This window comes from Homo sapiens, chromosome 9 (assembly GCF_000001405.40).
Source record: "Homo sapiens chromosome 9, GRCh38.p14 Primary Assembly".
NCBI classification, from domain to species: Eukaryota; Metazoa; Chordata; class Mammalia; order Primates; family Hominidae; genus Homo; species Homo sapiens.
The window spans coordinates 117,777,425-117,799,600 of NC_000009.12; the positions used below are offsets into that span (position 1 = coordinate 117,777,425).

Consider the following 22,176-nt stretch of genomic DNA (forward strand, 5'->3'; position numbering starts at 1 on the left):
AATCTTCAAATTTGCAACAGATCTTCTGACTCTAGTCTTTCCTGTCATTGCTACGTCAGTGGGTCTGGAGTGGAATGGATAGGAAGCTGGCAAGTACAGCAACCTGGGAATAGCCCAGCTTGTTTATTTCAGTGATGCAGGGGAGGGCAAAAGAAGTGAGGCATTGTGGGGAGGAGTATTGATCAGGAACTAAAATTTAAGTGCACTTCCAAAGATGATTAGAGAGCCACTATTAATGCTCTGTAGGGGATCGCTAGGAGGGCACTACGTAGCAAGAACTGGAAAAACCTCTGGAACGTGTGGATGCAGAAACCCTAAGTGATGGGGGCTTCAGAGACTGAAAAGTAGGTTTGTAATTTTTCATAGGAGCATCTACATTTGTCAGGTAAGAATGGGTTACATTGCACCCTCAAATAACTTGCAAAGGTCTTCAGATTAACACCACAAAAGTTTAATTCTCATTCATGCCAAATCTACTCCCCTCTTCAGGGTCATAGCTCAGCTATCCAGGTGGCTTTGGTTTTGTGGCTCCACTTTCTCAACATGAAACTCCAATAGAGGAAGAAGGAAACATGTGACCTGGAGAGTTGAAGTGGGTATTGGAGACTGCTGCATCAGCAGGGAAATGCTTTATATCCTCAAATGACATGTGCTTCTCCTGACAGCTCATTGACCAGAATTAGCAACATGGCCCTTCCTAACTAGAAGGGACCAGAATGGATAGTCCTTCTATGTGTCCAGAAGGAGAGAAGGACCAGATATGTGTGATCATGTCTCCATTATGGGAGAAAAGAGAATTGAAAAAGAAAGAAGATCCACATAGTGTCTGAGGAGCTGAGACAAAAGAAAAGTAAGTCATCTCATTGAGTCTCAGTTTCTTCATCTCTCAAAGAAAGATGAACATACCCACTGCACTAAGGGTGTCATGAAGATTACATTAGAAAAATGCACATGATATCTTTAAATCTCTTTGCCAATAGCAAGACATTTTTAAAAATGAAATACTGTTTTATGATTGGTGGTTGTTTTACTATGAAACCATAAAATGCTAGATTTCATGGGGGTATACAAGACTTTCTCTGGTATAGCCTTCCCTTTGGTACGAAATTTTTTTTCCTATTTTTTTAAAGCAACCCTATTAGCTGAAGGTACAAGAATTTTCATTACAGAAGATCCTAAATGAGAGCAATGATCAGAATTAGCTGGAAAGCCACACACATGCACAACCTGATTCAGAAGGATCAGAGAAGGTTATTTGCCCCCTTGCAGATCTAGGGGGCCTGGGGCTTTTACATGAGCCCCAAAGGATGCACCAGATAGAAAATTGGCAGGATGACTGGAAATTTTCAAAATGCACAGGTCAGTTGCAAATAATCTGATGCTGTTTTTGGGAAACTGCAGGCTAAAAATAGCCATGGTTTTCCTGGATGAGGCATTAGTTTGATGTTGGCCTTTGTAACCTGTATGTTTTTGCCATCTCTGCTCAGTTCCAATCATTTTTACTTCCTTTCACTTTGTGTACCTATAAGATTCAGAGTTGTATTAGAAACATTCATACTTTCTTTCATTGATATATTTATTCACATATCATTTATTCACTCATTCATTTATCCATATATCCTTTGCTTTCTTTCCATGACTTCATCAAGTTTCTTATTTAGAGTATAAACATTTATTGATCACTTTGTTTTCTCTGGGCACTGTATTAGGCACCAGAGATTCTAAAGGTGGGGGGAAACAAACTAAACAACAACAACAGCAACAACAACAACAAATCCTCACAAAATAACATGTGCAATGTCGTGGGGGTGCAGACAAGCACTCATAATTACAACAAATAATGCAGAGTGCAGTAGGAGTTCAGAATTTCAACTAGCTTGAGAGTAGAGTGGTACAAGAAGGTTTCTTAGAGGAAGTGGCAGTTGAAGTAATTCCTGAAGGTATTGTTCAAGTGGGGAGGGTGGGAAGGGCATCCTAGGTAAAAGGAACAACATTTATGTTGTAATGAAGCCAAGTTGAAAAGAAAGCCACGTGCAGGCAAGCAAAGCATGTTTGCCAGATCTGCAGTTATTCTAGGAGGCTCTTGTTTAATGTGTGCCTGATATTGTGGATTTAATCACTACCTCACAAATTATTCTTCAAGATTCAACTTGATCATTTAAACACAGACTCTAACAGAGTTTCTGACTCACACTAGGCACTAGAAAAATCTTATTTCTGAACTCTTTGCTGTTGCGTTTTCCCCCTTACCAGTCCCACAGTGCCTTGCAGAAAGTAGCCATTCAATGAAGTTACCTCCAATTTAATCCTATCCCTCTCCGCCCAGTCCCAGTTTAACTTCCTTTTCCACCTACAAAGACCCTGAGGGCCAGAAAGAGGGCAGCCTCTTCCCAAGGCCTCCTTGTCTTTTTCTGCTTGAGGAAATAGCTTGTGGTGTCTCCTTGGCTGTCTGTTTCTCCGCCTCTGGGGAATCTCCTCTCATGTAAATCCTGCAATTAGAGGCTCTCACCCCCACCACCAGAGCTACATCTGCCTCCCTAGATAGGCACCCACTTGATTAGGAAGAGATAATCACAGGGGCTGCTTCAGCCTACAGCTTGGTGAAGACAGGAAGAAATTCTGATTAAATTTGTGGTTTCAAGAGAAGGGCTCCCCCTCTCTCATCACATACCAGCTTCCTGTCTGCCTATACATTTGGACTCAAGGCGCAAAATTTTGATTCGTCATTTATTTTTTCAAAAACCATAGAAATTAGGCAATAAATAGGAATATACCTCTTTGGTAGATGAAGAATGTGAGCTGTGAGAGATGAAGCATTTGACTTAGGTCATAATGTTGATTGCCTAGCAGAGACTTTGGATTCGATCACTGATTAGTTTTATATCCTCCATAAGAGAAAGCAAGAGAAAGTAAGCAAAGCATTTTTTTCCCTTGAGATGATCTAATTTTGACTTCTGTATGGGTGTGTGTTTGTACTTATATATATTATTAATTCAAATTATATATTCAACTTAACTTTTAGAAACATTAGAAATATGTGCAGAATGTAAGAAATGCATAAAGTAGAGGAAAGCCTAAGGAAGAAGCCAAAGTCATTCATTATATCCAGAGATACTTCCTGGTTGATATATGACGTGTGTATGTGTCTATATAAAATGTCTACATAATCAGAATTATAATACACATGTGCACATATAGTTATTTTCTAACTACATTTTGTATTGTAAACATTTCCCCAGGTCATTAAATATTCTTCTAAAACACAATTTGGTTTGACTCCTTTAATGTTTTGATCTATATCCTGGATTGTCTCCTTTCTGTTCAATTCAAGGGAGAAAAAAGCAAATAAAAAAATAATGGATTAAGAGGAAGAAGCTCTGTGTTCTAGCCCTAGTTCTGCCACTTTCTCCCTTGAGTCTCTGTTTGTCCATCTGTGAAATGGGATAATAGTTATCCTTTTACCAGTCACACAATCTTATTTGCAGACTCAGGTAAAATCACAGCGATGGGTTTGCCCAGGAACGTGGGATTGCCTGGTGCTGTCTTTATTATGTTGCTGAGGATTCTTATTGCTTTTTTCATCAGCCCAAACACAAGAGCCTCCCAGGAGGTGGGTTTTTTCCTTTTTCTTGGCAGTGCTCACATGGGCAACACAGTTCATCGGAAGCACCTCTGCTCCAATCACCCTTCTGCATTGTCTGTCTTGATGAAAAATGACCTGTTATTATTTCTTACCTTTGGGTTTGGGAGGCCCCAAAGAAATCAGTAGCCACATAAAATCGCTGCTATTATTGTAACAGTATTTTCATTGATGGATTTAAGTGTGAGGTGTTTGCTATCGATTGTTAGCATCTGTCCTGGAGAGGCTGTGCTGCGGGGAGGCAGTGATAATGGTGGGAACGGGCACCTCCAGGAGCTGTGGCATGCTGAGTGGTTTTCCTGAAGCTGGGAAAAGTGTGTTTGCACTCCAGGGCGTCTTGCTTTGTAGGAGAAATGTACACCTACAAATGTGATTTCAAACATGTAACCCTTTAGAACAGATACTGCCTTCTTCCTGAATTTCTTTCTAATTTGAGAGATTTGACATTTTCATCCCCAATTTGATATTCGGCAGGCTCCTAATTCTTTATGTTTTAATATTTTTGGTCCTTTATAGGAATCAGCACTTAAAGGCAAAAAGTGAACAAATAATGAAGCTTCCGTTATGTCTTAAATGAGTCCTGTAATGTAATAAAATGCATTTTAATGTTTCCCCTTCCTTCCTTTCTTCCTGTCTTTTGTATTTTCTCTCTAGCTTCCATGTTTGAATTGTTTCTTCCCACTCTTTCTGCTTTCAGAAAATAAAAACAAAAACTTAGTGTCTACTGCATTGAAAACAAGGTGTTAAGCATTGTGAGAAATCAAATCTTGATGATGACATAATCTTTGCCTTCAGAGAAACCCACTAATGTACAATTTATGGACACAATTTATGAGAACAATATATGTTCTCATAAATTAAACAGCAGAACAAATTGGAAAGATGTCAGGGAAAGTAGTGAGTAACAGAGTGACAGAATCTTGATATGTTACAACTTAGAGAGACCCTAGAATATCATGAGATGACTCCATCATCACCTTTATGGAGAAACTCGAGCCCAGGGAAGTAAAGAGTTTAGTCCAAGGTCTCCTTATGACCTAACCTGTGCTTTTGATTTATATTCCTGATGGTTTTGCACCTGAAAGGCAGATTTAAACCTTGCTACTTACTGGCTATGAATGTACCTAACCTCTCTGAAGCTCAGTTTTTTAATCCAGAAAACAAGCCTTTGCAGGATGCTTGTGACAGTGGAATCATGTATGCAGTTCACCTGGCCTGGTAGTGTTTGGTACACACCATTTCATGCTACCCCTAAGCTGCATTCTCCTTTGGAGAGCCACAGGCACTAGCGTAAATCATATGCTTTCCATAAGCAAGCATACGCCCTCCCTCCTGTGAACCCAGACGGATGGAGATACACTTTGGGGATGTTGTCTGGGTATTTGTCTCAAATGCTAATGATAGCTCCCTTTGGCAGAAAAACAAACTCAGGCCAGTGGGGTTCTTAGAGTATTAGTCCTAGGAGCCAAAGAATCGATCCATCAACAGGACCTGCTGAGCAGGCACCTCATACGCAGAGCAGCTCAGGCACAGATGTCCGAAGCACTGCCCTCTCACAGGGAGCCCTGGAACCATAACTTCCAGAACTCCCTTCTCCAATCTAGAACTCGCCGCAGAGATTTCCAATACTCACCTCCTCCCCACTTCTAGTTCCCACCAGGTATAAATTTTAAAATCCTATACCTCAGAAAGAAAAAAAAAAAGCCAAATATTACACAAAACTGTGGAAGAAATCTAACTTTCTAGAACCCTGGAAAATGCTTTATTTTTACTTGTAAGAACTTTCTGTGCAAAGAGCTAACCACCCTGCCTATTCAGTTAAGGCTAATCACCTGCTTGTTAAATTATCTTAGGACAATGAGAGGAACATGTGGCAAGTCTCTCTGTGAAAAAACAAAAACAAAAAAAATTCCACTGATGAGTGGGTGAGGTTGTGCAACAGAAGCTGAGTCAGTGACACAGATCAAGATGCAGGAACCAGGAATTCAAGATGCAGGGAACCAGTCTATTCAAGAATAGACTGAGACACAGATGACAGCAGAGAGAACGAAGTCTAAAACTGAAACTGAAAGAGGAAAGAGGTGATGAGAAAGATGTTGAGACGAGGGTGTGGGGGAAAAGATACAAGTGGCACAGAAAGACGGTGAGAAAACACAGCCAGAGTATTAGATCACATAAGAGGAAAACATAATGAGAGGCGGAAGAACTAGCACAGACAACCAACACAGAGCCTGCAACCAGGGAAACCTGTGTTTCTTGCAGTTAGCAGCCAGCAGCCTGCAGTCAGCAGCAGGGGGCATCAGAACTCCACGGATAGTAAAAGATGCCAGGGAGCCAGTATAAGGAGAGAGGAAGTGAGAAAGAAATAAAGAGAGAAAGAAAAGGGATAAGAAACCTTCCTCTTAACTTTGAGATTAGAAGGAAGAGAGAGCCGCGCTATTCCTCGGGGTCCTGCATTTAGTGGTAAGCCAATTCCCCCAGACATCTTCCTGCTGACAGTGAAGGTATGTAAGTGGCTGTAGAAAGTAACACTGAAGGCTTTCTCAAAGAGACTGAGTCCAAGGGCGATGGCCTGGGCTTAAGCCAGCTGACTAACACTTAGGCATTCTGTTAGGCAGAACTCAGGTGCAAATAGCATATCTCCCTGAATGTAGTTTATCCAAGCATTTTCCTCTACTTCACCGCCTCCCAAAAAAGAATTATTAGGAGTATACTAGGATATTGCATAGATAAGGAAGTGATGGAAAAGTAAGCCTTGAGGAAAAAAGACCAAAGGATTTATGTTAAAAGACTTTTGTTTTTGTTTTTGTCCATTTCCCTCATCCATGCTCTGCCAGTCTTATTCTCCTAGCCCTCTCTATGCAGCAATCATTTCATTTGGTGTCACTTCCTCAATCATTTACCAGAGATCAAGAACTCACTTTCAATTTCAGTTTAAAACCAAAATCCAGATGAGGTTTCTGATTGGCTCAGCTTGGACCATGTGCTCACACCTTGGGTCAAAGTCACCGGAAGAGTGACATAGTCTGATTGGCCCAGTACTCTGAAGCCACACCCACACTTGTGCAGGCTTGGAGATTGGGGAGCAGCACACCTGAGGGTGTAAGGATCTGTTGTTGACTGAAGGAGATATTAGAATCATGATCCCTGAAGCCACACCAATTTAGGGCTACTAAGTTCATCTTGAATAAATGAGTTGCCTGAGTTGCTCTGAGCTTGTTTTTCTCTTCTATCGAAAGGCATTACTTACACCTGCTTTGTCCACCTCCAGGAGTTGTTATGGGGCTCTGATTAGAATATAGAGCAAATCACAGAGCCTCCTGCTAACAGGTGTGCAGACAAGCGCTAAGATGAAATGGGCCAAATACGAGAGTCAGGAAACTTGTGTGCTGGTTTTACCTGTGACATAAACCAGCAGTATGAATTTGGGTAAGTTCCTTATCTCTCTGGATTTAAATATCTTTAACTTAAAATTTGGGGATTTGACTGGGTCTGTTAATGTCTTTGTAGTCATTAGACCGCTTTAAGAGACTGAGGAAAGCTAGGTACTTTTACTGCCCTCCTCAATGTCCGGAAGTTCGTAATTTCCCTACAAGTCTACCTCCAGATATCAGGATAAGAACTCCTGGTTTAGATCATCTTCAAGGTGATATCCGACTCTTCAACTGATTGAAAAGAGGGGCTGCATTCTCAGTTGGAAAAGACAATTCTGTGTATCAAGCAGATGTGCGTCTTTCTTTGGTTTAAATCTCTTTCCCAGAAATATCATGCATGTTTCTCATTATCTCCTTCCTCTGGACTACTTCTCTTTTCTTCTTTTTTTCCCTCTACCACCTCATCATTCCTCCGCTACGGGTAGTCAAGTATGGATGTGATTGAAGTTGGGTTTCCATCTGTGTTAGCGGCAGGAAGTGTTACTATCATGGAAATAGTTGGGACATATATCATCTCTTATCTGCACCTCCAAGAACTTAAATGATTTCTTTCCCCCAACCAAAATAAATCAAAGGAGAGGAATCTTAATTATAGTCACCAGGTGGTGAATTTAATACATCCACATGAGTCTCTGTGCTGGCAGTGTTGTCAGATGAGCTTGTCTCTCCAGGCAGGAGGATAATGGGATTGTGAGAGTCTGGAGAGGAAGAACTCTGGGGATTATAACAGCAGCTCCCTGGTGGCAAGGAAACAGCCAGGCAAGTTCTGTTAAATATAAAGGCCAGGGAAACATTGCCTCATGTCAGGGTGTCAGGGTTGTCTCCACTCATGCTCTATCGTGAATGGTTTCAGCAAGGGATTCATAGGAGCTTCTCACATAGGCATTGCCCACCCAAGTCTGAGATGGGGGCTACACATCAATAATTTCCCCCCATCTATCAGTTTGAAGCAGTGGACAAAGCTCTAACTTGGACCACAGAGTGATCTGGACTTATATCTACTCTTACAGTTAATTGTTAAAGTTTTTCAATTGATGAATATTTATTGGATGCCTAGTACATGCTAGACACTGTTCTAAATAGCATGGATATATCAGCAAAATAATAGAGATTTAGAGATAAGTGAAACATACACTTAACCTATTACCTAGTAACAATTCTACTTCTAGGTGTTTATCTAATAAAAATGAAAATATATATTCACAAAAAGACTTGTGCACAATGTTCATAGTGGCTCTGTTTATAGTAGCCCCAACCTAGAAACAACCTAAATGTTCATCAACAGGTCAGTAGATTAATTGTGATATATTCATCACAATGGAATACTATTTACTAATAAAAAGAAACAAACAACTAATCATTAGAAGAATGTGAATGAATCTTGAAATTATATTCAATGAACGGAGCCAGACACAAAAAAATTACTTTTTGTATACTTCAGTTTTTATGAATTTGAGAAGAGGAAAACTAATCTATAGTTATAGAAAGCAGATCAATGTGTTGTGTAGGATGAGGAGTGGGCCTCAGAGAACTTTTGGGGGTGACCAAAAATATTCTATATCCGATCACAGTATATTTATTTTTCAAAACCTCATGAAAATATGCACTAAAATGAGTAAATGCATTATAATTTTATGTAAAGTATAATTTGGTAGAACTAGAAAAAAGGGGGAAATTTATTCCCAGTGCACATAAAGCTTACGTTCTAGGGTTGCCAAAAAATAAAACAAATTTAAAACATAATAGTGTAGCAGCTTGCAATATGATGAAAAACATTGTTTAAGGGCTTAGCGAATTGCAGGAGAGGCAGAGTTGCTTTTTATATTAGAGAAGGCCTCTCGGATAAGCTGACATTTGAGAAGGCCCCAGTGCATATCAGACGAAGAGAGGTGCAAGTGCAAAGACCCTGGGGCAGTGGCATATTTGTCCTAATCAAGGAAAGGTAAATAGGTTGGTATGGCCAAGTAGAGTGGGCAAAGTGAAACGCAGTGGGTATAACTGTTTTATGAATGAGAATGAAACTTTGAAAATCTAAGTAGCATGTAAGGTCAAACATCTAGGTATAAGATTCCTTAAATCTATCTGATCAGAAAACTATTACCCATCACACAATATTTTCTCTATCCACCCCTGCTCCCTGCTCATAGTCCAAACACGAAAGTGAAGCAGCAAGCAGCCCATGACAAATATGTGCACTGCCAGCTAATGAATATTGGAGAACATGACACGTTGGAGAGCCCAGTGGGTCTTGAAAGTCTGAGTTCCAGCAAATTCTCATGTCTGCATCGACTGCAGCAAGGTCAAAAGTTGGAAAGCAGGGATATTCGGTGAGTTCTGAGCCTCCAACACAGAGGCCAGGGGAATTCTTGCAGCTGGCCAAAAGTGAGAAGTTGCTCAGCTCAGATTTGGAGCTTTCTACTGCTTTTGTGGAGATGCCATTAGGCAAATGAGCAGGTCTGAGAGAGGCCGATAAGGCACAGGGGGAGAATGTGCTGGTCTTTCCAGAGAAGGTCATTTGAAGCAGCCACAGAATAATAAAGCTGCTGGCCTGAGATAGGAAGGGCCTTGAAAAATAACCAAATGAGGGCCTCTTCCCTAATTCCTTGGAGCTGAATTTTATCAGGAAGGCCACTTGTGCTTACAGAAAACTGTAATCACTCACGGTGGGACACAAATTCCCAGCGAGACTGCAGTTGCAGATCAGGTCTAAACGTTCAGGATCCTGTCTAAAGACATGTTTCTCACTGTGAGGCCTGCCTGTTCTGTCCTTACAGCTTCTTTAGAGTTTCCTAAGCATCTGAACCATCTGAAAATCGTGCTTGCCAAAGACTATTCCTTTCTCCCAGAAGGATTAAGCTTTGAATAATTCCTTGGGGAGGCCACACTGGCTACCCCTTCTTCCATCCCTCCAGCTTCAATAAGCATGAATCGGGGGCCCGTGGTCACCTGCCCACCCTGTCTCTCAGGATTAATGGTTGGAAACCTCGGAGTTAGGAGTACTGGCTCCTCGAATTTTCTTCTCTTTTTGAGCTCTATTTTTCTCTTGGGCAGTGGAAAAATCATTGGCTTTGGAACTGGAAGACTTTAATTCTAATTCTGGCTCTTTCTTATATTTCTTTTATTTATTTATTTAACTTTACCTAAGTAATGACTTTTAACTGGCATTCAGTTTTCTCATTTTTGAAGGGGAGATTATAACTTTAATTCATAGGGCTACAGAAAGGTCAATTTTGATAATAATTTTTAGGTGCTTCATATAGTATTTGATACATACTTGTAGCCCTAGACATACTGGACTGCTTTTATTTCTCAGACTTACTAGGCTTTCTCTGGTTCCAAGACTCCTCTCACTCCTGTGCCATTGCTTTCTGTTCTTCACGCCCCACCACTTCCCTTCTTCTGGTTCTCATTGACTCATCTTTTTCATGTAAACTTAGACATCATTTCCCCTTGGAAATCTTGCTTGATCATTTCCCTCTCTAGGCTCCCAAAGTACCCTGTTCTTCCCCAGTATAGCTTTTATGAAAATGATAATTTACTTGTCTGAGACGCAATCCATGAGAACAAGGGCTCCATCAGTCATGGACTGATGTCGAACTTACTTATTTTCCTAGTTTATGTAACTTTTCTATGTTTTGTCTGCTTTGTCAGCCTTTGACTCCCTTAATCAAATCGTCCACATCCCCATGAGTTAAGTTGTATTAATCAGGTTATACAAATAAAGAATTGACATTCAAAGAGATTAAGGAACTTACTGAAATTATAGGAGTTATTAGATAAAGCTTACAATTTGTTTCCAGTTCTAATTCCAAATAACAAAAATAAGCATTCTTTAAAAAGTTGTTACATGCAACACAGTGTACTAAGCATTTATATTACAACCGTGCATTATGGGTGTTACCAAAATCTGCATTTTATAGATGTGTCTGTAACCTCTCAGTGAAATTAAAGAACCCACACAAGAACAAATGGAGAGGAGGACATGGATTAAATTCAGTTCTATTAGACTATGCAGCCCATGTCCCTCACTAGAGAATCATGTTCTGTTACACATTCTTTCAAAGTCTCAGTAAGTTTCATTGCACCAAAAAAATTCTTTCCATGCCCCAGTTACAGTTTTGCTGCTTTAATTAATAAATAAATTGATTTTCTTTTTTGCCATTCTCCATAGATACAAATTTCCTGCTCAGTATTCCTATAAACAAAATCAATGACACTGGAATGTGTTTGCCAAGATATTGGAAGGTTTTGCTAAAAATTCCATGAAATGGGAAATTGCTGGTTAATGAATGAACGGCAGAGAAGGGACCCACAATCTCTGTCAAAAGGTTAACTCTCAAATCTTATTACAATCTTATTTTCAGAGAAGAGGATGGCAAAAATAAGAGGGTTTTAACTCTTACATGTGGAGGAATTTTACAGGATTTAGGATTGTTAGCTAAGAGAAGGAAACTGTCTTTTTATGTATGTGTGTATTCTTGTGTAAGACTGTGAGTTTAGTGATGTCAGAGAAGTTAGTCAGTTAGTTGTCTTTAAATATCAGAAACCGATAAGTGGGAGAAATGAGGATTCTGGTCTTTTCTTAATAAAAGGAAATGCTTTAAATCAATTGGAGCACCTACTCCACGTAGAATGGCTTCTGAAACCATGAAGCCATTCATGGAAATATTCAAGCAGAGTTTACCTGAGAATCCATAAATAGTTTGGATTCTCCCAAACTGAAATCCATTTGAGATGAGAGAAGTAGAGAAGATACATAACTTTGTGAGGTTAGTAGACATTCCAAGACATCTAGTCACCCTATACACACTCTTTTTTCAGGTTCCTTCCAATTCTAAGATTCCATTATTGTACGAATCTAATTTAGCAACTTTTAACGATATTGTGTATAATAAATTTTGATAAATTGGCTAGAAGAAAAAAGTGAGAAATTACCTATTTTTAAAAGCATCATGGACCCTTAAATACATATTTTCTTGACTAGTCTATTGATAGGTTGTCTGGAAGATGTCTAATGTCTCACATGTCTAGCAGTTCTTTGGGGCAGTTGGCTCAGATACCTTGTGTATTAGGCTATTCTTCTATTGCTATAACGAAATAACTGGGAGTGAATAATTTATAAAGAAAAAGGTTTAATTGGCTCATGGTTTTGCAGGGTGTACAGAAAGCATGGCACTGGCATTTGCCTCTGGTAAGGTCTCAGATAGCTTACAATCATGGCACAAGGTGAGGGGGGAACAGACGCATCACAGCATAGAAGAGGGAGCAAAAGACAGTGGGGGGGTGGGTGGGAGGTGCTACACACTTAAACAACCATATCTGGCAAGAACTCACTCAGTGTCCCGAGGACAGCACCAGCACATGAGGGATCCTCCCCCATGACCCAAACACCTCCCACCAGGCCCCATTTGGGCAGGGACAGATATCCAAACTACATCACTTTGATTTTGCATGCAACCTGTCCACATGGCTAGCTCAGCCTTCCATACATGACAATTGGGTTATAAGAGATTGTGAATGGAAGCCGCCAGCTGTCTCAAGGGCCTCTTTAGAATTTGCACATCATGCAGTCTATTGGTCCAAGCATGTCACAAAGCTAGATCATATTTAAAAGGGTTCAACATTTCAAAGGGTGCAGAAATAGACTCTACCTCCTGCTAGAAAAATGGTCAGTGTTACATTGCATAAAAGGATGAGAGAAATTTGTGGCCACATTTTGAAATCTGCCACACTTCAGAAGGGACATTTCTTTAGCATCTTACTTAAATTCTTGTGGACTTTGTACCAATAAAAATAATGATCATTTATGCTATACTCAAGCATGTTTAAAAAAAGACTCCCAATTTTTCCCTCCCTTTAGGCCCAGGAAACTACCATTCTACTCTCTGCTTCTATGAGTTTGACTATTTTAGATTTCTCATGTAAGTGGTGTCTTGCAGTATTTATCTTTCTGTATCTGGCTTATTTCACTCAGCATATTGACCTCCCGTTGACTCCATGTTGTTGCAAATTGCAGGATGTTTTTAAGGCTGAAAAATATTTCACTGTATGTATATGCCATATTTTCATTAGCTGTTCATCTGTCAATGGACATTTAATCTCCAATGTCTTCGTTATTGTGAATAATGCTATAATGAACAAGGGCGCGCAGATATCTTTTGGAGATTCTGATTTAAATTCCATAGGTATATACTCAGAAGTGGGATTGCTAGATCATGTAATAGTTTTATTTATTTATTTTTAGGAAATTCCATACCATTTCTGTAGTGACCACATCAATTGATATTCCCACCACCAATGCACAGGGGTTCTGATTTCCCTACATTCTTGGCAACACAAGCCATCATTGTCTTCTTGATAATAACCATTCTAACAGGTATTCAGTAATATCTCATTGTGATTTTGATTTGCATTTCTCCATTAGTGATGTTGAGAAACTTTTCATATACCTGTTGCTGTTGGCCATTTGTATATCTTCTTTGGAGAAATGTCAAGTCATTTGCTTTGCACATTTAAAGAATCAGATTATTTGTTTTTTTGCTATGGAGCTGTATTACTTTGTTGTAGATTTTTGGATATTAACCCTTTATCAGATATATGGTTTACAATTAGTTTCTCCCATTCTGTAGGTTGCCTTGTAATATTCTGGATTGCTTCCTTTGCTGCGAAGAGGCTTTTTGGTTTGATGTAATCACACTTGTTTATTTTTGCTTTTTTTTTTGCCTGTGTTTTTGGTGTCATATGCAAGAAATCATTGCCAAGGCCAATGTCAAGAAGCATTTTTCCTATGTTTTCTTCTAGGAGTTTTATGATTTCAGGTCTTAGATTTATGTTTTTAGTTTACTTTATGTTTTTGGTGATTTTTGTGCATGGCATAAGGATTCAATTTCATTTGTTCTTTTGCATGTTCATATCCAGCTTTCCCAGTGCCATTTATTAAAGGGACTGTTCTTTTCCCATTGTATATTATTGGAACCTTCATAAAAAAATCAATTAACTGTATATACATGGGTTTATTTCTGGGTTCTTTATTCTGATGAATTGGTATATATATATCTGGACTCTTTATTCTGATGAATTGGTCTACCATGCTGTTTTGATTACTGTAACTTTGTAATATATTTTGAAGTCAGAAAATAGAATGCCTCCAGCTTTATCCTTCTTGCTGAAAATTTATTTGGCCATTTCTTTCTTGGTTCCGTGTGTATTTTAGGATTGTTTCTTTTATTTCTGTAAAAAATGTCTTTGGGATGTTGATGGGAGTTTCTTTGAATCTGTAGATTGCTTTAGTAGTATGGACATTTTAACAACATTAATTAATGTATTTTTTCTAGTTTTCAGAGTTATTTCATATCTAATTACTTTCCCTTTGATTTTCATAGCACCATCTCATATTAAGTGACTTAGGGAAAGTTGTTTCATACATTTGAGCTACCGAGTCCTCATTCATAAAATGGAGAACATTCTTGCCCTATCTATAACTTTGAGCTGTTGAAAATCTAATGGGATAATAAAGGAATGATTAGAAGTGCCCAATATTATGCTATTTCAGTGACTCTTTACATCAAGCATCAAGAAAGGAAGTTCTATGTGATCATATTTCCTGAACACCAAATTTTCACAAAAGATTTATGAACTACTTCAGTGTATGAGCCTTCAATATAGTTTAGATTTTGAAATGCTTGATTTTCTGGAATATTGTATTGGTTTATTAGATAAAATAATTGAAATCTGAAGTTGAGATTGTTGCAGAGAGTCTAGTTGATTTGATTACCATGCCATGGCAGAAGGGCTCCACTCTATTTCATGTCGACTGAAGTTGAACAGTATGAAAACACATAGTATTTAAACTTTAGCACCCTGGGGGATTGGGGAGGGGGGAAAAGTTTATAACATACTTCTGCAGTTTGTATACCCACCCATTTGCTATTCTTCGTAGTAACATTCTTTAAAGAATTTTTACGTTCCTTAGGGAAAGAGTTTCAGGAACAGAAAGGAATCATGGGGGAGAATTATCATTTATTCTACACCTCTTCTGTCCCCAACATTGTTTCTAGGATGTGTCACTAAATCTCAGTGAAGGTGTTGTGAATGGGACACATAAGGTCACTGACACTTACTGAAAGGCTCAGTTAGTGTCAGATTACAGATTTAAATTTAGGTCTTCTAAAACCAAAGTCCTATCTACCCAGTATACAATGCTGTGTTGCCAAAAAACAAGGGTCTTCGAGATGTAACCCTCTTATAGAAAAGAAATCCCATTTGTTACCCTCTTGTACAAAAGAAATCCCAAGAGACTGAGTATGAAATTATTAGTGTGAGGAGAAGGAATCATAGTGAATCCTTTGGGATCTGTGCAAAGAACAAAGGAGGTGCTTAGCGACCCACTCTGAGCTATAGAGGCTGACTTAGCAGCAGAGAAAATAATCAAAGGCTGCTTCCATTCCTTAGAACGACCTCTCATCAATAATCCAGTGGTTACACAGTATCTGAAACTTTCTCTTTTTTCTTTCTGCGTTGTAGAGAAGTAAAAGAGAAAAACATTTCTGAACAGAGAACTTCCCTAGTTCTATGGGCAACATACATATTTCACTTTTTAAAAGCTGCCGACAAATAGCAAGATTCATTTTAGCACTGGCATACCATAAATTTATTTGCTTGTTAATGCAGCATCCCCAGTTCATGTTTTTGCTAACTAGAAACATGAAAATGTCAATCTGCCCTAAGGGATGTATCAACCTCATGATCTGAACTTGGTAACAAGATGAGAGTATGGCCTGCTCAAGAGCACGTGCTGTCTCAAGAATCAAGGCACATTGGAATCTTAATATTAGAGACTCCTACAGCAAAATATAAGAGTTAGAGAAGTAAGAGTTGTAGAATCATTGACTAATAGACAATTAGTGGAAGATAAAACTTTAGGATTTATCCTGACATATTTTACCTTTATTTTGGTAAAGCCTCCTTTTATATCCTACTGATATTGAGGGACAGATGGATTTGAAGTCTGCATTATGTTAACATGATAATGAGCATCCCAGCCCACTGGAAGAGAGAAAGAGGAGAGCGTGGTAGAGTGGCATAATTCAATTTGGCATTGAGAGGCTCTAGATACAAAACGAAGTCGTAAATATTGACATGATCTCACTATTATCACTGTAGCAGGGGGTTTTGTTTAAGTATGGGTTTTTCTATCTCTTTCTTATTTTGGCTGAATGCCATTGCTTTTCCTTTTGAGAATGTTCCCTCTCCAAGTCCCTGACAATGTTGTCTACCGGGGCCTATCCAATCCCCAGTCCCCAGTCTGACAATTGGCTTATTCCATCTCCCTAGTTCCAGTTTATGAATAAGCTTATAACCCCAGTTAAGTGAAAGTGAACAATGGACTTTGCTAAAACATATAGAAAGAAAAAAGGTGCTTTTTTTCCCCCTTTATTTTCCTTGCAGTTGCTGATCTAGTAAGGTGGTAACCTGATATGGTAGTAACCTGGCCATCTTGTAATAAGAGCCTTGCTGAGAAAGAAAGAAGCTTTCAGAAAGAGAAACAGAACCAACATGTTGAAAGACAAAGGCATGATGAGGTGAAGATAGGTGTATTCCTCCTTCCTTAGACTCCTGTAGTGAGGCAAGGCAGTGTGGTAGTAAGTTCAGGACAATCATCTGTGAGTGGTAAACCCACAATGAGTTGATGAATTGCACAACTGAAAACATAGGTGGCTAAAAGTTAAACATGCAATTACCATGTAACCCAGTCATTAGAATTTTAAGTATTACTCAATAGAAATGAAAGCCTATGTCCATGCAAAGACTTCTATGCAAATATTCATAGCTTCTTTATTCATAACAACCAAAAGCTAGAAATAAATGTTTATCAGGAAATAAATGGATTAAAATGTTTTTTAAAATCAAGTGAAATACTACTCAGCAATTTAGAGGAATAAATCATTGATACACACAACATGAGTGAATCTTAAAATAATTATGCTGAGTAAAACACACAAAAAAGAACAGTTAGGATTCTATTTATTAAAACCTCTGGAAAATGCAAACTAAGTAATAGAAAAAACTCAATGATTGTCTGAGGACAGAGGTAAGGGAAATGTTTGAGTTAGGGAGAAATTACAAAGGGATATTACATTTTTGTAGGTGATAGATATGTTTATTTTCTTGATTGTGGTGGTTGTGATTGTAGTGATACATATGACACAAATTGCATGCATATCAAATTGTATAATTTAAATATGTTTAGTTTGTCGTATGTCAATTACGCTGCCATAAAACTGTTAAACATAAGGGAGGTAAAGTCTCTGTTGGCCTGAGTACCCTAGTCGAGCAAAGAACCTCTTCCACTAAGAGCTGACCCATATCCATATGAGACTTGCCACAATATTGTCACATAGCAAATCATTTCAAAATTCAGTTGTTTAAACATTGACCATTTATTGTCACATTTATTGGTCTGTGGACTGAATGCATCTTGGCTGGGTTAGGCTGGACTCGAGGATCCAGGCTGCAGGTTAGTTTCAGATCTGTTCCAGGTATCTCTTATTCTTAGAGCAGCAGCCTCAAAGGAAATGAGTTCTGCCCTACATATGCCAACCTGGGGCCAGGTAGATGGGCAATAGCTACCTAGATCATTTTATTTTCATGGTGTGTCACAAAAGTGCGGGAGCCGAAGCCAAACCGAATCACCATGTGTTTGGCCTCTGCTCATGTGATGACTGCCAATGTTTGATTGGCCAAAGCTAGTCATAATTAAGCGCAGCTTTAATGGGGTAAATAATAGACTTAATCATAGTGGGAGGAAAAGGGAAGTGAATTATTTGTTGAACAATAATTTAGACTATCAGCACTATGTATCATAAACCAAAAAGCAAATCTTTGAATGTTAGATATTTGTGGGTTATTTATTGCAACTGAGACATGAGAGGCAAGGAAATGTCTCAAATATTTGGAATATTTGGGGACTCTTTATTACAACACATGAATTATTTCCTGTCCTAAAGACATTATCAGATGTACATGAGAATCTAGTGGTACTCAGAAGGTTTAGTTTTGTCAGGCAAAAAAAAAATTATTTACTTAATCCCATTTGAGTTAAGTTTCTGTTACTTAAACTACAGTTGTCCTTATTGATATCATTGTGGGAAACTATAATAATCAAAGAGCAGAGTCTAGCAAAACAAATGATGTCTATCGTTAGTTGAGCAATGACTACTTACCAGTCACTTCACATTAGTTATTTCAGTTAAGTCGCATCACCAAGATGCTAGGTTGGTATTATACACTGTTCTCTCATTAAGAGAACTGAAATTCCATGTCTCAAGAAAAAGAGTTGAGAAGCAAAGCCAAATCTGTTGAAGCCAAGACCTATTCCCTTTCCAGTTTACCATGTTTTTGCTCAGGAGATAATCAATGAAACATGGCACCAGAGGCATTTATGATCTTTCTCTGTGTCCAGAAAAAGCTAGAGCTAATTTCTTTCTGAGAGATCATCATCTATTCTGTGTTTTTTAAAGCTCTCTCCTCCCATCTTCCTAGATTGATATTACCAGTGCTTAACTGCACTTAGACCTGAAAATCATTCTTCAGTGTAAACAATATGGTGCATATAGGAAAAGCCATGGATGTGCTGTCCGGAAGTGTGGCTTAGAATCTCTGATCTTCCATTTAGTGGCTTTGAGACCACGGAAAATCCACATAAACATTTAGTACCTCAGTTTCTTCCTTTACAAAGTGAAAATAAAAGTATCTCCTGTTAACCTGATTTGACAGTTAAATATGACAAACTGAAAATAAGTTTATAAAGTGCTTTAAAATGTGATGTAGCGTTAATGTAACCATCATAAGTAAAGTCACTAATAATGATTCAGAGGGACTAATCTCTATCAGTAGCATTGTAGTTGTTATAACAGGTAGGCGCAGGGAAATTTGTGGCTAGAGGAGGATATTCTTGCCAAATGGTTCTTAATTTAGACCATATAGACAGAAACTGTCTATGTCTTTATATAAGGCAGTAACTACTGCTACATCAAGAAGACCCTGTGCTGTATCTATCCCTAAGGTCTCTAATTACCCAGCAGTTTCTCCAGCAATCAGCAGCCCACTCAATGATCATCAAGAGATCTTCCAATACTGGCTGTAAGGTTTTGTTCTTTCCTCTAAGAAGTCTTTATTAACTCCTCTGCCTCTGCTGAGTCCTGGAGGCCAGGTAGGTGATTAATGGCCTCTGAATTATGATCCAACCAGAAAGGCTGTTGGTGGAAATTTATACTTAGTGTGGTAAGCTAGAATTATTTCAAACCAGATACTCGACATTCATTGCACAATTTAATTGTAAAGAGTAGTAGTTAACGAGAGCACAGGGGAAGAGGGTAAAATAGGAGCAGAGAGTCTGGGCTGAAGGCCAGTGCTCTCAGCAGTGAAGTTACATCTGGTATGGATGAATCATGGAGTAGACAAATTACAGCACTGGAACAAGGTTTTCATCACCATTATATTTTATCAAGAAGGAAACTAAGGCACACAGAGAGTAATGAGGAAGCATGATCATGATGGTAACTATGATGATAACAACAACTCCCTTTAGTTTTAGTACCTTCTATAAGTCAAGCTCTAGGTAGGAAACTTGACAAGCACCAAAGCTAATCTCAAATGCAACATTATAAAGTTAGATATGATTGTCAATATTTTACAGATGAGAAAAATTGAAGTTTAGCAAGATCAAATGACTTGTCCAAAATCATGAAGCATCTTGATTCCAGGTATAAACAGGGTCTGTCTGAACTTCAAAATTTTGCTCCTTCTGGTATGTCACTTATGTTGCTTCTACCATTACTCTTTACTGCTACCAGTAATGTGGAGTTAACTGTGTGCCAGGTACTCACTCTATGTATACCTTCTCAGTGTTTTCTCCATTTACCAATGAGGAAGCTGAGATTTTGTTTGGGTTATGCGCCCAAAGCCCTGCGGCAAGCAAGAGGCAGAACTGGAATTTAAAATCCAGTCAGAAGATCCTTCTGACTCCACAGATAATTATCTTAGCCACTACCATAACTGGCTACAGCTCATACTAATTACCAACATTGTCACCATGATACCCAGTGTTCTGGTTCAAACACCATTTTTAATGATAAATTTCCTGATTTGGTGAGAAAAGCCAGTCAGTTTGAAGGTAAGATGAGACGAGATGGGGAGCAGAATGTAGAGTGTGCATTTTTCTGTTACTACTGCACCAAAATACTCAATTCAATGGTATAAAGGAGACTCTGCTTTAATAATTGACTATGACATTTATCAACCTGTGGAATCAGCAGGGATCAAAGTTAAGGAGCCACTTCCTACACTAGAAGAATCTTGGTGCTTAATAAAACCACATTGTCTTTTCAGCTGATTAAAAAATTGGATGAACCAGACTGCCAAGATGCATGCAAACCTCTGAGCCCTGCTAAGTGTCCCTAAGTAAATAAATTACAAAAATAAGTATCTTTTTTACTTGCATATAAAAACAAGCAAATGAAAGCTTTTTGCATAATTGCTGCAAAGGGCCCCAACCAGCCATTTCCATTTGCAATTTCATATTTCAATAAAGTTTTATTTATTTTCATTTGCAAATGAATTTGCTGCCTTTGAAAAAGAAGTCTTGCTGCTCTGATTGGTGCCAGGTGGTTGGGAGGAGCTTCCACTCCCAACACTGGCCTTTTGGCTGAACAGATGAACTCCAAGCTTGTCTGCTTGTCTTCCTTTTCCCAGCTGCCTCTGCCTGGTTTTAATGTATCTATGTGTTTTGAAATTCTGTGCAATTGCCAAATTGCCTTATTTCCTAAATAGAAAAAAATATGTGCTAGCATTCATCCATTTAATACATATGTGTTAAATACCTACTGTGTGCCAGAAACTGTTCTAAACACCAGAGATATAGCAATAACAAATGTATTAGGTCCTTTTTGCATTACTATAAAGAAATACCTAAGGCTAGATAATTTATAAAGAAAAGAAACTTAATTGGCTCATGGTTCTGTAGCCTGTACAGGAAGCATGGTTTTGGCCTCTGTTTCTGGCAAAGCCTTAGGAAGCTTCCAATCACGGTAGAAGGTGAAGGGGGAATAGGCACATCACATGGTGAGAGCAGGAGCAAGAGAAAAGAGGGAAGAGGTGCCACACATTTTTAAACAACTAGATCTGACATGGACTAATGGAGCAAGAACTCACTTATCACAAAGGGGAAGATGCTAAAGCATTCATGAGGGATTCACCCCCACAATCCAATCACCTCCCCCCAGGCTCCACCTCCAACACTGGGAATCACATTTCAGCATGAGATTTAGAAGGGACAAACATGCAAAAAATATCAACAAAATAGAGAAAAATCTTAGTCCTCATGGAGAAAAGGATCCAGACAAAAATTTGTGTTTATTTGGAGTAGATGTTTGGGTGGGGGGAGGGAAAGTAGCATTAAAATATTCCACCACAGTGGGTAAAGCATACCTTGAGGTCCTCATTGTGGGAAAGACCTTGGAGTGCTTGTGGACTAGAGAGGTTGTGTGGCTGGGGTGGTCTGGGCAAGGGAAGTATGTTGGGAGATGAGTCTAGAGAAAGAAGCAGGAAACAGAGATTGGGAGAGAGGGGGTTATGCATGCTTTAGCAAGTGTAAGGGAGAGCAGGTTGCAATGAAGAAACAAAACTAAAGATCTGTAGAGTATTTCTTTGGTAGGGCAGAATACATTCTTTGGAAAGATATTTGGATACCAACTGGATTTCTAAATCCTTGTCATTTGTGCATACATACACTTTCTAGTCTTCAGTATCTGTAAATTATAGTGGGAATGGTGGCAATTGATGCAACCCAGGATTCTTGAATGTTGAAATTCTCTCTTGACCCAGCCAGTGCCCATGAGAGCACTAAGAAAGGTATATTTTCACAGGGGACAGGCAGAGAAGGAACAAAGTACGTTCATAGGTATTCTTTATTCAAAATTCCAGAATGATTACATAGTGAACTAAACTGGGCCACGTGGTTGACTACTTTTCCCTATACCAGTGCATCACCTCTGTGATGAGAAAAGCCAAGTTCAAAGAGAAACTCAAAGAAAGATACATCGG

The 22,176-nt window shown here is 38.8% G+C and overlaps 1 long non-coding RNA gene across 4 annotated transcripts in view; it reads left to right on the top strand.

Moving 5' to 3' along the window:
• The window catches only part of LOC105376244 (uncharacterized), a 111,773-nt gene that overhangs the window by 17,968 nt on the left and 71,629 nt on the right, over window positions 1–22,176 (top strand). Inside the window, exons 4-6 of one of the 4 annotated variants that reach the window (XR_007061905.1) lie at window positions 666–850; window positions 6,912–7,069; window positions 9,222–9,401. The exons of 1 other annotated variant lie outside the window; for it this stretch is intronic. This is a non-coding gene — a long non-coding RNA (uncharacterized LOC105376244). Of the gene's footprint in view, window positions 1–489; window positions 3,267–6,911; window positions 7,070–9,221; window positions 9,402–22,176 lie in introns of those variants that run through there. 2 more of the 4 variants (XR_007061906.1, XR_001746916.2) reach the window with 2 other exon arrangements.